Source organism: Homo sapiens, chromosome 16, assembly GCF_000001405.40.
Source record: "Homo sapiens chromosome 16, GRCh38.p14 Primary Assembly".
Lineage (NCBI taxonomy): Eukaryota > Metazoa > Chordata > Mammalia > Primates > Hominidae > Homo > Homo sapiens.
In genome coordinates this window covers 49543806-49559685 of record NC_000016.10, presented here as the reverse complement: position 1 = coordinate 49559685, position 15880 = coordinate 49543806, and the positions used below count along the sequence as shown (strand labels likewise).

General features: G+C 48.9%; 1 protein-coding gene across 15 annotated transcripts in view, besides 3 other annotated features; it reads left to right on the top strand.

The window, feature by feature from the left end:
* ZNF423 (zinc finger protein 423) overlaps nucleotides 1–15880 on the top strand; it is a 371756-nt gene that overhangs the window by 299594 nt on the left and 56282 nt on the right. The window lies entirely within an intron of this gene.
* Nucleotides 1283–2170: an enhancer, noted in NCBI's record as "H3K27ac-H3K4me1 hESC enhancer chr16:49591427-49592314 (GRCh37/hg19 assembly coordinates)". NCBI's record gives its function as "activates a minimal SCP1, AML or CMV promoter by ChIP-STARR-seq in primed H9 embryonic stem cells {active_cell/tissue: H9 hESC(primed)}" and the evidence as "EXISTENCE:reporter gene assay evidence [ECO:0000049][PMID:30033119]".
* Nucleotides 9841–10652: an enhancer, noted in NCBI's record as "H3K4me1 hESC enhancer chr16:49582945-49583756 (GRCh37/hg19 assembly coordinates)". NCBI's record gives its function as "activates a minimal SCP1, AML or CMV promoter by ChIP-STARR-seq in primed H9 embryonic stem cells {active_cell/tissue: H9 hESC(primed)}" and the evidence as "EXISTENCE:reporter gene assay evidence [ECO:0000049][PMID:30033119]".
* Nucleotides 10653–11465: an enhancer, noted in NCBI's record as "H3K4me1 hESC enhancer chr16:49582132-49582944 (GRCh37/hg19 assembly coordinates)". NCBI's record gives its function as "activates a minimal SCP1, AML or CMV promoter by ChIP-STARR-seq in primed H9 embryonic stem cells {active_cell/tissue: H9 hESC(primed)}" and the evidence as "EXISTENCE:reporter gene assay evidence [ECO:0000049][PMID:30033119]".

Here is a 15880-nt window from a genome sequence, read left to right as displayed (position 1 = left end):
AGATGGAGCTTGGCGAAGGTCCAAAGAGCCAGGAATCAGGAGCAGACCGCCCACAGGAAAACATGTTGTCATCAACTCTTCTTCCTTGACAAGGATATTAAGTCCTGGTCTTTTCAGTGGGGGAAGATTCATCCTCTTGGGGCAGAGATAAGTCAGTGATGTTGAGATAGGTTTGGGTCCAACCACTCATTCTGCAGCAGGAGAGAGTTGGAGGAATTTCATCAGGGATGGATGGAGACTGGTGAGGATGTTCCCTGGGGCCTCCTAGAAAGATTAGGGGAAATCTCTCGCCATCTGGCCCCATGCTGATGCTCCAGCCCACCATACCTCATTAGCAGAGAAGGCTTTGCTTTTCTGTTTTTCTTTTTATTTCCCGTACTGTACCCTGTTCCCTGACCCCCTTTGGTACTGAGTAGGAAAGTACAAAGCGGGAAGTGGCAATATCCCAGGGCTTTGCCCCTTTTGTGTGGCCAAGCCACAGATAAGTCAGTAGACCTCTCTGGGACTCGCTTTCTCTGTCCATGAGATGGAGAGTACTCCCCACCCCAGACATACAACTGCCTTTCAGAGTGGTGTTTAGGAGTCCAGGGGATGGTGAGAAGGTGGAAGGGGCAGCTGACTCAGGCCATGCCTGGGGCAAGCCTGGGCCAGGGATGTCCAAGGTTGAGGGAAGCCCCTGTGGCCCCTAAGGAGCTCAGGACTTGCCCCCACCTCGGACATCCCTGCCTCTGAGACCCCCTTACTGAGTGGTTCTGATGTCATTGCTGGGCCCCTCCAGGTGGGACCCCCCCAAAACCCCGCTCGCTTCCAGGTACACCTTGGTGCTTCCCAATGCCAAGACTATTCAGGAAAGGGCAGAAACCTAGTAATTTCTCAGCTGGAGAGTGTTGTAAAAATAAATGTCTTCTGGAGGTTGAAAGGTTGTCAAATACACACTGAGCTTAATTGGGTCCTCAAAATGTGCAATTCCTGCTGATTTCATGGAAGATGTGGACGTGGGATGTGTGTGCATGTACAAGTGTGTGCGTGTGTGTGGGTGTGTGTGGATCCCTTAGCAGAATTGGGCTGATGCTAGCTTTTGAGCTGTGTGGATTTGCATATCTGTGCAGGTACCTGGGCCTCTTGATGGGTCCATTACTTAGCAAAGGACATGATTTCTCCTGCACACTGGGGAGGGCCCCTACAGCCACTTCTGGGCCTACTCCTCTTATCCTGCATCACTTTCAAGTTGGGAAGTGACCCAGGGCTGGGGCCAGGATCTTTGCCAGGGCAACTCACCTTTTTCATGCCATGGAACTTTCTCTCCTTGCCCCCAACAAGTAAACATCTTAATACTAGCTAATGCTCCTGGGGTGCTTGTGTGCCAAGCAGAGTTTAAGTGCTGTGCATCCTTTATTTAACTCATTTAAGTCACTCCTTAGCCCTGTGCAGAGATTGTGACAATCAAATGCAGTGCACCTGTGAAATCTGCCCACCATTGCTGGGGTCTGGGGCCCCACAAGCTCCATCCACAGGTCCAAGTTATGAACGCCTGCCCTGGAGAGTTAACCACCAGGTTCAGAATTGATCTCAAAAACAGTCCTTGCCTCTGTTTTTCTGCAAGCAAAACTGGCTTCAGAAACCTCCAGCACTGCAGGATGACACTGTGTAGCTCCAGTCCGGCTGTCTGTTGGCTCTCTCTGTGGTGGGACCCTCGTCTTTTCCCCTCTGTGGGCTGTTTCCCTGTTTGAGGCTCAGCCCCTCTGGAGCCAGCCCTCTCTGGCTTTGGGGGCCCCAGGTGCCCAGGCCCAGACTCCTTCTCTAGATCTGGCTGCCAGAATTGAATTGATCACTTCCTTGCAGGGCTGGAACCAAGGGGGCTCAGGATGGAGGCTCTTCCTCCTGGCCTTTCCTGGGCCTCCTGCGTGCTCATCCTGTGGGTGGGAGGAGGCCTTCTACCATCCTTGAGGCCTTCATGGGAGATGAGTTTCTGCATCTTTGTGAACTCAGTGCTGTGCCTTCAGAAGGACAGATTCCCACCCAAACCGCCCCATCACCTGGCAGCTCCTCCAGCCCCAGCCCAGAGGCTGCTTCTGCTGCCATTTCATTCTCTCACCTGGGCCAATATCAGGGGCCTGCAGCCATGCCATCGTTTTCCACCCAAGCACCCGTGTCCCCACCACCACCCCCTGGGGTCAGAGGGTCAGAACACTGCCCCAGGGCCACCTGCTCCTAGGATCCCCTCATGTAATTCCCCTAGCCCTGGTGGCCCCGGGAGTTCCTCCTTCTCATTCCACCCAGGCTGCAGCCCTCTCCACTGTCGCTGGCTTGTTTGTTCAGCCAAGACAGCCAACCCGGGGAGGAGGAGCGGGCAGGGGCTGCGGCGTCTGCCCCCCTCCCTCCTCCTGCCAGGCGCTCATTTGTATGCAGAAGGGATTAGGCAGAATTTACCGTGGCCTCACCCTGGGGAGCTGCTCGCGCCCTAGGAATACTCTCCGATGGCGGCGTGCAGTTGGTAAGATTAGAACAGCCCCTCTGCCGCCCTGCACGCCCTGGTCACTCTCTAGGCCGCCAACATCGAAATCATTTTCATTTATAACCTTTTTGATCATCCAGCCTCAAAGAGGGCCCGCCTTGTGTGACAGCGGGCACCAAAATGGCCCAATTATTTGGAAGAGGAGGGAGCAGCTGAAAACAGTCAGATATGAGAGACAGGGCACTTGATCTGGGCTCATAGTTTTTTTCCTGCCTTCTCCCACCAATATTTTTACAGCTGTTGACATATATTGAGTTACATGTGCCTGGGCTAGATCCCCGTGGTACTGTTTCAAAGATCTGTTCACCGTAAAGTGTGCTGTTCTCAAGTAAATGACTGACTTCAAGAAAGCACAGTAGTTTAAATGTTACTATAAATACAGGAGCTAAGACATTTTAATTATAATTTTTGAGTTATACAGTGTTCTATAAGTACACGAGGCATTTACAAAAGAATTTGTGCTGAGCTTCAAGACACTGTGCTCTCTTGTGGATAAAGAAGTAACTGCAGGTGGCTAAATTCCGCAGCCCAGTGGCTGAACTCTTGTTTACTTGTGGCCAAGAGGGGTAGGGGGAGGCTGCAGAGTCTGTGGAGGTCTCAGTTTGGGATGTTGGAATCAATTCCACACATATTTATTGAGTTCCTCTCTGTGCAAAGTACTGAACTGGGGGCTGTGGGGGCCTCCGAGTTGATAGGGCAGAAATCTCCGCTCTCACGTGAATAGTCCCATGGGAGAGGACAGCTAGCAAATCAATGTGAGAGACGCTGGGATAGAAAAATCTGTATGGGAGCTCTGAGAAGGGGCATCTGATTCTGCCTAGGGTGAGAGGGAGGGCTTTGGAGAAGAGGGGGCACTTCTGCTCTGACTTGAAGAGTGATGAGAGCCACAGGGAATGTTTGGAAGTGAACAAAACCAAAGTCAGTCTTCAGCATGAGAGCAGGTATTTTGGGCAAGCTGCATGGACTGCCTCTTTCTGTATGTGGCTTGCCTTTACCTGATGCCCTTTAAATTCTCTACTGTCCACAGTTGGAAAGCTCCGAAGGTCGGAAGAGACCAGTGATCTTGTGGGCTTGAAAACTCAGCCCTTTGATGGGTTGAGTGGAAATAATTCCTAGGTACAATGGGAGGGAAGCAGGTCTGTGGTTCTCATGTTATTGTAGTTTTGATGGGAGCAGCCTTGTGGATCATCTTCTTGTGTGTGCTCCAGTGCTGAGGCATTGGGTTAAGGAAAGGAGGCAGATCTGGACTGACACATGACTATTATCCACCTGACATCCACCCATCCATCTATCCATCCTTTCAACCTCCTCATCCCATCAATCCATCCATCCACACATCCATCTCTCCATCTCACCAACCTCTTCATTTCATCTGTCCATCCATCCATGCACCATCCCTCCATCCATTTATTTATTCACCCATACACTTATCCTTCCATCCGCCCACTCATTCATTCTTCCATCTACCATCTACCATCCACCTGTCCATGGTTACATTCACCTGCCAGATGTCCATCTACCCATCCACCATCTATCCATCTATCTGTTCATAATCCATGAGACATTATAGTGTATGGATCAAAAGCAAGGATTCTGCAGTCAGATTTCTTGAATTAATGTCCTACCTTCAACACTTACTAGCATTATGTCCTAGGAAAGCTACTTAACCCGTGTGTTAACCCTTTCGTCTACAAAATGGGAAAAAATAGCAGAGGACAACAGAAGCTCATTGTCAAAATTAAATAAGATACTACACACAAAGTGCTTAGCACAGTGCCTGGCATGGTAAGGGCTCAGTAAATGTTGCCTCTGTTTATTGAGTGATGCCTGTAGGCTGGATGCCACCCTGCACAGCCTGAACTGAATTACTGGTGCTCCAGGTATAGACTGGAGAGGTTCCTTCCCAGCTTCTTCCTTGTGGCAAGGGCTAGGATTTTGGAGTGGGAGGGACCTACTGACATAGGCATTAAGGATCATTAAGGAATGACCAGTGTATTTTGTTTTTATTTTTGTTTTAGGGGGAAAAATCCTAGTTTTTGATGTAGGTGTGTTTAATATGTGTCCATGAGGTCTCTTAATTTTTTTTTAACATTTAATTATGAAATGAACCCATGAAATACAGAAGAAAATGATACTCCTTGGTGAGTTGTCTACATCCCAGTTTCCATCTTGACCAAGCTCTTAATTTTAAAGTGCTGTTTTAAAGCACTTTACATCCAAATTCACTCATTCTTTGATTGTTCTTACAGATTTCTTCAAGCTACATGTGTCGAGCACCAGCTGTGTACCAGGCACTGTGCCAGGTGCTTTTGTCCTGAAGGTCTCGTGTAAGATTTATATCTTCAGAGGGAAACAGACCAAAATCTTGACAGTGGGTTTCTAACAGGGGTAGAATTAAGGGCGATCTTTATCTGTTTTTGTATTTTGCAAATTTCCTACAATAATCATATAATGATTCCATATCAGAAAAGCCAACTGAAAATAATTCAGGGAGATCAGAGAGCTCACAGTCAAGCAGAAGAACCACCATTTATAATAGCCAAAGTGATACCATAGGGGCCTATTAATGTAATGAGTCCCTGAAAACAAATGGAGAACATTGAGTTGGCATTTTCAGAACAACTGGTCCTGGAGACACCCTGGGTGCTCACCACCCACTGCCCAGTCGATTCTTGGCATTTAGAGCACCCTGTTGAAATGGTTTAGACTGGACAAAGTAGGGAGAGGATGTTCGGCCAGATTGTTTAGGAGGTAGTTGGGATTTGGGGGCCTGGGTCAAGGTGTGGTCACCAAGGTGGGCTGTGAAGGTGGTGTGGGTCTTGCCTCCGAGCTATGGCAAATGGGTAGAGGTAGAATGCTCATTCTTAGTGCACTTGCTCCCTGGGCTGCTATGCCCGGCGTTACTACCTGAGGATCTAGGATTGGGGAAGGGAGGAAGTCCTTAGGCATGCTTCAAACTCCTGGTTTGAATGTGGAGTTGGAGCTGTGGCCTCAGGTGTGGGGTCTGTAAAGTTGGGAGCTGGATAAGCTTGACTCTGGGGCTCTCCAGCATGGATGCATCCTGTTCTAAGTCTGCCCAGTGCCAGTGTCAGGAGAGAAAAGATATCATTGTTGTGGGGGGACCATGAAGCCCAGCAAAGGAATGGGCACTGGAGGGGCAGTTGGGAGTCCCCTCTGCCTCCAAGGCGGGACTGTGTTGGGCTGGAGGCATTGCTCTTCCTGTTGCTAACTTGGCAAATTTGTTTGGTTCAGTCATATCACTTTTGGGGGGCTTCAGTTCCCCATCTAATGGAGAATCTTTCACTTCATCTTCTGAGCAACCCTAATGAAAATGTTATGAGAGAATCTTATAAACAGGGGAGCCCTATGCCAGGGAAAGACGTTATTTCATAAAAAGACTTAAAATTATCATCTAATCTACTAAGAGTGGTTGTTATTAAGAAATACATATAAAATTGATCATGCCACTGCACTCCAGCCTGGGCAACAGAGTGAGACCCCATATCTAAAAAAAAATAAAAATAGGCCAGGCTCGGCGACACATGCCTGTAATCCCAGCACTTAGAGAGGCTAAGGTAAGAGGATTGCTTGAGCCTAGGCATTTGAGACCAGCCTGGGCAACCTAGCAAGACCTCACCTTTACAAAAAAGTAAAAAAATAGCCCGTGGGGGTGGTGCATGCCTGTAGTCCCAGTTACTTGGGAGGCTGAGGCAGGAAGAGCTCTTGAACCCAGGATTTCAAAGCTTCGGTGAGCTATGATTGCATTATTGCACTCCAGCCTATGTGGCAGAGCAAGACCAAGAGCCTGTCTCAAAAAAATAAAATATAAGAAAAGAAATATATATATATAAATTATAATGTTTACATTTTTAATCATGACCATAATATTGAAACTGTCGTAATTATTAGAACTCAGTATTCTGCCAGATACTGCACAGGTAGTACCTCTAACCCTTCTAACATCCCTGTGTAGGGTAAGACTTATTATTATCATTTTTCCAGTGACTTCATGCAGATTTGAGCCCAGCTCCTTCTGCCTTCAGAGTCTGTGCTCTGTTGAATCTTAACACCCCAGAAAGCTTGTTTGATATTTTTTTTAAATTAATATTTGATCTTTACAGCATCCCAGGAGAAAGCTGGGGCCATTTTTCTGTACCCATTTTACAGCCCAGAATAGCCCTGCTGGTGACTCTGCCCTGGGCCTCCTGTTTGTTCTTGCTTGCACCATAAATGCTGGTTTCCAGGGTAGAGCGGGTCCAGGTGGGGTCGGGTCTCTTCTGCATCCCCATCCCCTCCTGGAGGGGTGGGGGCCCTTGGGGAGCACCGCTGGTTCCTCTGCTTGCCTTTTGGGATCATGGCCCGGCCTCTGAGCAAGAGCCTACAAGCTGCCTTCCATCACCCAGGCAGGACCCTGTGTGAGGTTTTTGCCTTTTGCTTCTTGCCCTTCCTGAATGACACGCTTGCACTTGTCCCTTTGGTTTAGCTGGAAACCGAAAGTGTGTCATCTCAAATGCAGACTGACGTGCTTCTTTTATAAATTCTTGGGCATTACTATTGATTTTTGGCTGAGGATTTAGAAATCCTATCTCTAGGACTCCCGAGATTTCCCTCTGCAGTAATAATGCATTGTCATTCTTAATATCTCCAATCTCTGACACAATATTCATATCAAGCTGGAGTAGTGGCGTCAGCACATCCTTGGGGACAGCTGCAGGGGCTGCGCTGGCCCCTTGCCCCCCTCCACCCTGTCTTCTCACCAGGAAAATTGCTCCTGGCCCACCCCCTATTTGTAGGGGCCTAAAATTGCATCAGGGAGGCATCAAGTATAAGAGAGTTGATTTCTACCCTCCTCATTGCACAGTTTTTACTGAGGCTCAGAAAGGGGCAGGAGCTTGCCCAAGGTCACACAGTGAGTCAGTGGCAGAGGGAGCTGGTACCCTGGTCTCCTAGTTCAAGGGTCATCAACTCTGTGTCTATGGGGGCCAAGCATTAACATAAGTTGGTGCAACAGCTGCACGTGGGACAGTGAGGGTTATGCAGACCCTGCAGAGAGCCCACACCCCTTCCATGGCTGCCCAGGCAATTGCATCTGGGAGAGTCCAGATGTTCTGAGTTTTCAAGAGAAGCCAAAAGCCCATATTTTAATACAAATTTCTTGTATTTTAAATGTTGGCAACTAATGACAAAGCGCATGAGTGCATGCACACACACCCATGTGGCCCTAAAACAGAACCACAGATTTGAGTTGGAAGATGGTACAGGACTTGCACAGTGTACAAGTGGGAGGCCACTCTCTTGGTCCAGGTGTCCAAACACCTTGACTTCCATCCATGTCAGATGCCTTCCTGGCTGTTCCACTTGTCCCAGCCACAGACTTGAGGGGCCCGTTTTCGGTGTCCCTTCCAGCTCCTTGTCTTCCAGCCCCCACCCACTCTGGCTCAGCTGTGCCCCCGAGGGTCTCCTCACCCTTCCTGGGAGGAAAGGAGGCCTTTTCTAAGCAATCCTCCTCTCTGGATCCCAGCTTCCATGCACCCTGCGTGTTTTGCAGCAGGTGCAGGTCTGACCCACCTCCCGCCTGGTTTGTCCTTTGCCCCCATGCTGCCAAGGAGACAGAGCTACTAGTTTGGCCTCGGGACCTCCTGGGAGTGTCACTGAATAGGTTCTCACTGAGGGATTGTTTTTCTAGTCCTTGGAATTGATTCTGCTTAGACCATAAAAATAAAAAGACCGTATCCTGGGTACTTAGAATGTGTCTCTTGAAGAAGCTGATGTGTGTGTATTTTGGGAGGGGGGATGGAATTGTGTTTTGAGATGCTGATAGGAACCAATTCCTTGCACCTTGCAAAAATCTCCAATGGAGGCTTTTGAAACTTTTTGGCAGAAAAGCGGAGCGTTGGATGTTGGAACTGAGGTTGAATCTGTGAAAATTAAAATAGCCAAGAAATGCTGTTTTCTTAGTTGCAAAAACATTTTGTCAACACGATAGGAAGTTTGAGTGGGAAGGAGGGTGGTGGGAACACACATCCCTCCCAGTGTCCCAGCTTGAGGGCCTTCCGTGGGGGGCCCACCTGGAAGGGGCATAGAGATAGCTCTTCTGTTTGGGACCTGATGATAAGGGAGAGTGGGGAGAGATGGTGCTGATTCTGCCTGTGGCCCTGTGAGAATCACCTGTTTCCTCCTCTGTCTCTTCATCGGTCCAGCAGCTTCCTGCAAACCCAGCCACAAAGGGGCCCTCTAGGTACCTGCGAAGGGAGGCCCACCCTGATGGAGGTCACTCCCAGGCAGGCAGTGCCTCGCCTTCTCTGTGTGTGACCACATGGGCTCTGCCCAGCAGGCTGGGGGCAGTTGGCAAGCAGCCCTCAGAGCTAGACTTGTTGGGCCGGCCACATCCCCAAAATCATTACTGGCATGAGTTGAGAGCCCCTTTGGGGAGACCTACATTCCCTTGTCTGTCCCTTGCTCCCACGGCTGTCCCTTATCCACAAATGATGTCCCCACGCTATGGCCAAGGACCCAGTTATCCCCAGTGTGGTTAGAAAGGGGCACTGAGTAGGCCCAGGAAAGGCTTAGGGTTGGCGTTGACTGCAGGTTTTGTAGAAAGAGAGCTGGAGGCCTGGGCTTTGGTTCTGGCTGGGCCACAGACTTGTGTGGCCTTGGCCAAGCAGTCTTCTCTTTCCGAGCCTCAGTTTTCCTTCTGTAAAATGAGGGAATTGAAATAGGCAGTGTTTTCCACATTGCAGGCTGCAACCCATTAGCAAATCATGAAATCAACTTAGGCAGCCACAGCCAACGAAATGAAAGAGGAAACAGTAGGGCGGAGCAGAACACAGAATGGAAGAGAATGGACGAAAAGGGAAAAGGGAAGGGTAATGTCAGAATCCATCCTCCTGAGTAAGCTCTCACGTGGTTCCATGAAACTTGCTTTGGTTTCCATGTGTATTAATGTGCAGCTAGGTCATCATGTATATGCTTCTTTCTGTGGGTTGCAGTTTAAACAATTTGAGGCTGGGCTCAGTGGCTCATCCCTATAATCCCAGCACTTTGGAAGGCCACGGTAGGAGGATTGCTTAAGGCCAGGAGTTCGAGACCAGCTTGGACAACATAGCAAGACTCTGTCCATATTGAAAAAGATTGTCTGTGCATGGTGGCGTGTGCCTGTGGTCCCAGCTACTTGGGAGGCTGAGGTGGGAGGATCGCTTGAGTCTGTGAGGTCGAGGCTGCAGCGAGCGGTGATTGCACCACTGCACTCCTGCCTGGGAAGCAGAATGAGACCTGTGTCTAAAAAAAAAAAGAAGGAAAAAACAAAACATATTTGAAAAGTACAGAGTAGCTTATATAAACATTCTTCTAAGCCTTACGGTTCAGAAATGTAGTTAGTTCACTGGCTGGGTTGATCTTGAGCAAGTTACATAATCTCTCTGTGACTCAGTTTCCTTATCTGTAAGATGGGAATAACAGTAGTTCCCAGCACAAAAGGACGTTACAAGGACCGGATGTGTGAATTTATGTAAAGTATTCAGCACATTAGCACACAATCCATGCTCCATGTTAGCTGCTGTTGCTGAAGCTGTAGATGCACCCTTCTACCTAGGGAAGGAGGTGTGGTCCCAGACCTGTCACCTTCTCGGTCAGCCAACCTCTGGAGGAGAGGAGAGGAAATGGGTCTGCTGTGCCTCCGTTCTTTGGGCCCAGGGACAGTCCCAGGGAGCTGCAGCTGATGTGGGGAGGTTCACAGGGGAGCCCATGCCCCTAAGCAGAATCATGCACTTGCCTGGTGAGAGCTCTTCCCTGCCATCTGGCTGGAGGCCGGATGGGACCTTTGTCTGCTCTGGGGGGTGCAGGCAGGGTGGGGCATGGCCTGAGTTGCAGCCCAGACCCCCAGCCTGCAGCTCCTGCCTGTTCCCACCCTCAGTCTTTGGTGGCCCCGAGACCATCTCTCCTGCCCCCCATTCACCAGGCAAAGCCAAGAGCCCCACGGCCCCAGGAATCCAAAGCCCAGTGGAAGTCCTCACATGCAGATCTGTGATCTGCCACCATCTGAGCATTTCCATTTCATTCAATAGTTCGAGTCTTTGAACCCTGTAGCTCCATTTTGAACCATCTGAAGTGGGCACACATCTGACAATAACTACTTTTTTTCACCACTCATCCCACTTAAGAAAAAAAATGCAAGATAGGCCTGTGTTAAAATGAAAAGGAGAAAGAAAGAAATGAAGTTGTAGAGGAAGCTGCCTGGTCAGACCAGTGTTGCAGTAACTAGGAACTGGAAGGTTCAAGATGAGTCTCTAGAGAGGCAGGGAAAGGAGGGATGACACTGGGGCCACCTTTCTGGCCAGGGGCAGGAGTGTGGGTCCGGGTGTGGATGCCAGAGGAGTGGAGAATGGACCCAGCGCTCTTGGGAAACTTTTCCTGGTTCAGGCACGGCTTGCCTGGCAGCGAGGAGCAAGGTCATTGGTTCGATGTCAGGGGAAGGCTTTGTGCTTCCCCGAAGGCGGCTGTCTCCTTCTCTCCCTTCTCTCTGCTCCGCCTTCCCCGTCTCTCTCCCCTTCTCTTTCTCCCGAGGTGCAGATGGCCACATTTGCAGGTTAACTGGAACAGCTGGAGATGCATTATTAGTTTCCTGCTGCTCCTTCATATTTGCTTGGATTTTTTTTTTTAACGGCAACATAATTTACAACTAGTACACTGGTGTCAGAGCTGGCATGTTCTAAATCCGCATCAGATTTATGTAATGCCGTTGCTTATCAGTGAATGAAGTCATAATTATTGCTTTGTACCATTAAATAGCATAAATATATAAACTGTTATACAAATTGCAGCAAACGTTTCCTCTGGGGAGCTCTAGACCAAATTTTAATGTCGTGCATTTGTCTGGGATGGCAGTTTCTATGGTATATAATAATGTTGATAAATTTTACTGTAGCAAGTGACATTTTAAAGCATTAATTTTGGTGCTAAAAAAAATTCTGAAGAATGCTCAGACCAAACTGGGAGGTGCTTGGAGGACCCACTGGGTGAGGTCGGGTGAGGTGGAGGTTTTTCCTTAAGAGGACAGTGGGTGATGTGTGGCACTCCCAGCACTCCTCCACATGAGATCACCCCTCCTCTCTCAACTCCCCAGGGAAAGTGGCAGATACATTTTCCATGGCAATGATGATAATTAATTTCAAAAAATTCAAATCGATTCATTTCTGCCTTAAATTTGAGGTGTGCAAGGGAAAGTGGAAGGAGGCCGTGGAAAACGCACAATTGGTGGGGATGGTCCTCGTTGTAACCTCCTTCCCAATTATGTAAATTCTGTGTGGGGTGAAAAAAATCCCCATCCTAATTAGAGATGCAACACCTGGCCTCAGATGATGTTTCAGATGCCAGGCGTGTGGTTGCATAGCCTCCTAAAGCCATTATCGTCAAGAGCGACTTTTGCGAGAAGCCCCAGGACAACGCCCAGCATTTACCTGCTGTGCTCTTTGGAGAGCTGGGTGGCTGTGGTGGAGTGCTGGAAGGAGCGTGCCACCCTCCGCCTTCAGAAGAGGGCGTGGGGGTTGGAGGTTCCCCGCCAGGGCCCACTCACCACTGTGGAGCTGACCCAGGGAGTTGGAGAGCATGCTGCCAGCTGCTCACCCCCACCATTCCTGGGCCTTGATGAATGCAAACATCCTCTGAGAACCTTTGTTACCATCCTGAGTTTTCAGGTTTCATCTTTTTTCTTATGTCCCTGACTCCTCCCTTGAGATTCTTAGAGTGCTCTGCTGAGCCTTATGGCTCTTCTTGTTAACGTGGTATCCTTAGTGTCGTCTTTTGGTATGTGGGAGGATCACGCATCGTGGCCCCTTTGTGTTGGGTGAAGCCTTGTGGCTAATTCTGGCCAGAGAGCCGTGAGTGGAGCCTTTAACCAACAGAGTGGGACCTTTCAGCATTCTCTCTTTCCCTGGGGCACTCTCAGCATCTGAGTGTTTTTCACAAGCAGAAACCCCTGCAATGGATGTGAAGGGCAAATGAGAAATAAACCATTGCACCCCTTGAGATTTTGGGAGTTGTTACTACAACATAGCTTTCCCTATCTTAATACACAGGTCTTTGTTGATTTCTCTAAAGTTTACAACTTTCTGCAGGGTATTGGAAGTGTGGGAAAGCTGGCTGATTGTTTTTTTTTTTTTTTCTGGAAAGAGTATCAAGTAGATAAAACTTTTGTCCATTCTGGACAGTGAGAAAACTGAGGCTCAGAGGAGTTAGGTGACTATCCTAAGATCACACAGCTTCCAGGCACCAGGCATTGACGTCCCCCAGTTAACAAATGTTATGCTCTTTCTTCTCTCTTGCTTTGCCTTTGAAGAATGAATTCTCTTTCACAGGGGTCACAAACTCAATGACCTTTGAGGTCAAGCAGATCAGGGTGGGGCTGAGGAGCACAGGACAATAGGGACTGATAAGAAGTGCAGGGAATATTCGAAAAGCATTAAGGTTCAGCCTTGGCGTTTAATTCTGTGCCCCCTGATGACATCTCGAGCTTCCACGGATAGCTTCAGCTGCTGTGCGCGCTCACTATGAGTGCCTCCTTCTGATGTCTTGCCCTCGAGTTTAAATCTTGAACTTTGTAATGGAAGTCTCACATGCTCATCCCTTTATAGCCGCCAACTATCTGATAAAGTCCTCTACAGTTAGGATGGGGACTGGCCATTAACATCCTAGTACTCTATCCCCGAGTGACCTTGTGAGTTATCAAATCCTACCTCCTCCTTTCACAAATGAGGTCTCTGAGCTCAGAAAAGGCACCAACTTACCCAAGGACACCCCACCGAGTAGTTTCTTAATGAAAGCGTTTGTACTGTTTGGAAGTGAAGAAAGTCACAGTTTAAGTGGATGGAGGGGTGTTGAAATGGAATTGAGAACAGCCAGTAGGGAAGGAAAATGTGTTCTCCTTAAAAAATGTTAACTTTTGTTTGTTTGTGTAGTCAGAAGACATTTATTGTGCAAGATGCTGGGCAATGTGCTTGATCATTAAAAAAAACCTTAGTGAAAAGATGTCTTGCATTTGTGGGTATAAAAATCTGAAACTTCTTGCAGACAGAGGTCAGTTCTCATTCTGCTTATGTTCCCAACACCTGGCTCTATGCTTTGCACATAACAGAAATTAAGTGTTGAATTTAATTGCCTCTATCCTTATGCTACCAATGGCGATTATGAATAATGGTAAGGAAGTTAGCACAGCCCTGGGGTTAAGAGCACAGCTCTGTGGTTGAAAGGCCTGGGCGCTGTCACTTACTGTAAAGTGAGGACAAGATCATGACCTCCTCGTAGAGATTTTATGAGCCCATCCCAGATGTAAAGTGTTTAGCTGAATGCCTGGCAGGTAGTTAGCACTTGAATGCCTCCAAGATAGTCCAGGAGAGCTAATCTTTATTAACTCAGCGAGCCCAGTCTTGGCTAGTGTCTGTTCAGCTTTGCTTGGGAGACAGAACTGTGGCTCAGCACAGGCAAATACATTCTGCCCACTCCCCATGTGACGTGGACAATAATTTTGTACCCCAAACTGCAAAATCTCCATTTAAAGCAGCTTGGGAGAATTGTTTCAGCATGAGCTACCACTGCAGTCTGGGGTTGCTTTTCTGTCGGAGGCTCGGTGCTGAACAGTTAGAGTGGGGGGTCACCCTGGCTGGCAGGGCTGGGCATGACACCTGTGTAGCTCACAGGCTCTGAGCAGGGTTGATGGGGTGGCATGGTCATGTGGCAGCCAAGGCCCAGTCTTGCACATGTTGAGATGTGATGGGGCTGCCCTTGTCAAGCCTGCCCGGCGCCTCCTCTTCATGACAGTCCCCATTATCCTGTCCAACAGCAATGGGCAGGGGAAGGAGCACTGGACAAGGAGTCAGGGCCCTGAGATTCACTTCCTCTGTCACTTACTATCTTTTCAACTTGATACTTAGAAGCTTAGTGTTCCAACTTGCAGAATGGGACGAAAAATGCCACCTCCATCCAGCTTACTCACATGGCTGAGAAACAGACCTGGGGATAAAGTGTTCCGTAGAGGCCAAGGGGAAGGGCCATTGTTGGCAGAGGTTAAGAGTTGCATTTCGGTCCTGGATCAGCCACGTGGGACAATCACTTTACCTCACCCAGTGTCACTTTCTCCATGTGTGGAGTGGGAATAATAACGGCACCGGCCCCATAGTGCCACTGTGATGAGCAAGTGACTGTGTAAAGCTGGCTTCGCTTCAGCTCTGATCCTCTGGTCACACTGTGAGGTCAGAGGTCCTGTTGTCCTGTTCTGCTGCACATCACCAGCACCCAATGCTGCACCCTGCGCTTGGGCGCTCAGTTTCTGCAGAATAGAAGAAGGATGCGATCCCCTGGAGTTACGTCTTGATGTCTGATGCCTGTAGACTGTGAGCCCAGCAAGGGCAAAAGCCCTGGCTCCCAGGTCACTGCTGCATGCCAGCACCTGGCTCAGTGAGGAAAACCCTCCCAAGCCTTCAGCCCCTGCAAGCACCCTCCCCTGGAACGCCCTCTCTGCCTCCACATCTCAGCCTGTTCATCCAAGGCCACCTCATTCAGGAAGTTATTCATTCACTCATCCATTCAGTAGGTACCTATGCACCAGACATGTGCTAAGGTGATCCTCACCTGTCACGGAGGAAGTTTCTTCCCCCTTGGTGTTACCTCGACCCCCATCCCAAATATTTTATTCACCCTTCTTAAGGAGCTGACCCCTTCCTGCCTGGTGTAATGCTTATGTGCATACCCAGCTGATCTCCCTCCCTAATTAGACGTGAGGGTTTTTTAAAACTTTGTTGAAGTATAGCGTACGTTCAGAGAGATGCACACCTCTTAAGTGCACAGCTTGATGAGTTTGCAGAAATAGAACACATCCAGATCGAGAAGTCGAACCCAGTGGCCTCTGGTAGCTCCCTGCACTCCTTCCTGCTATTGCCTCCCTCAAAGGCAAGCACTGGCCTCACCTCTGGACCATACTGTCGTTTTGTTGCTAGAGGTGATTTAAAGGCAGGTGTGTCTAATTCATTCTCTCTTCTCCAGACTGCTTAGCACAATACCTGGCATTTGTTGAATAAACAGATAGGTGGATGGATGGATGGGTAGATGGACAGGTGGATGTGTGCATGGATGGACCCAGTACCACAGGGATTAGACTAATGACGGTGTTAATTTAACAGCTGACAGTTGTTGCATTCTATCAGCCCACTCTACTCAGTGCTTTATAGGCACCTCTGCTGGTCCTCACAGAGCCCTGTAGGGTAGATCTCCCTCTGTTTTTACAGATCAGCAGACTGAGATTCAGAGAGGTCAGCGACTTGCCCAAGGTCAGCCAGCCCGTGAGTGGCGGTCGCTGTGACCGGGGTCATATGACTC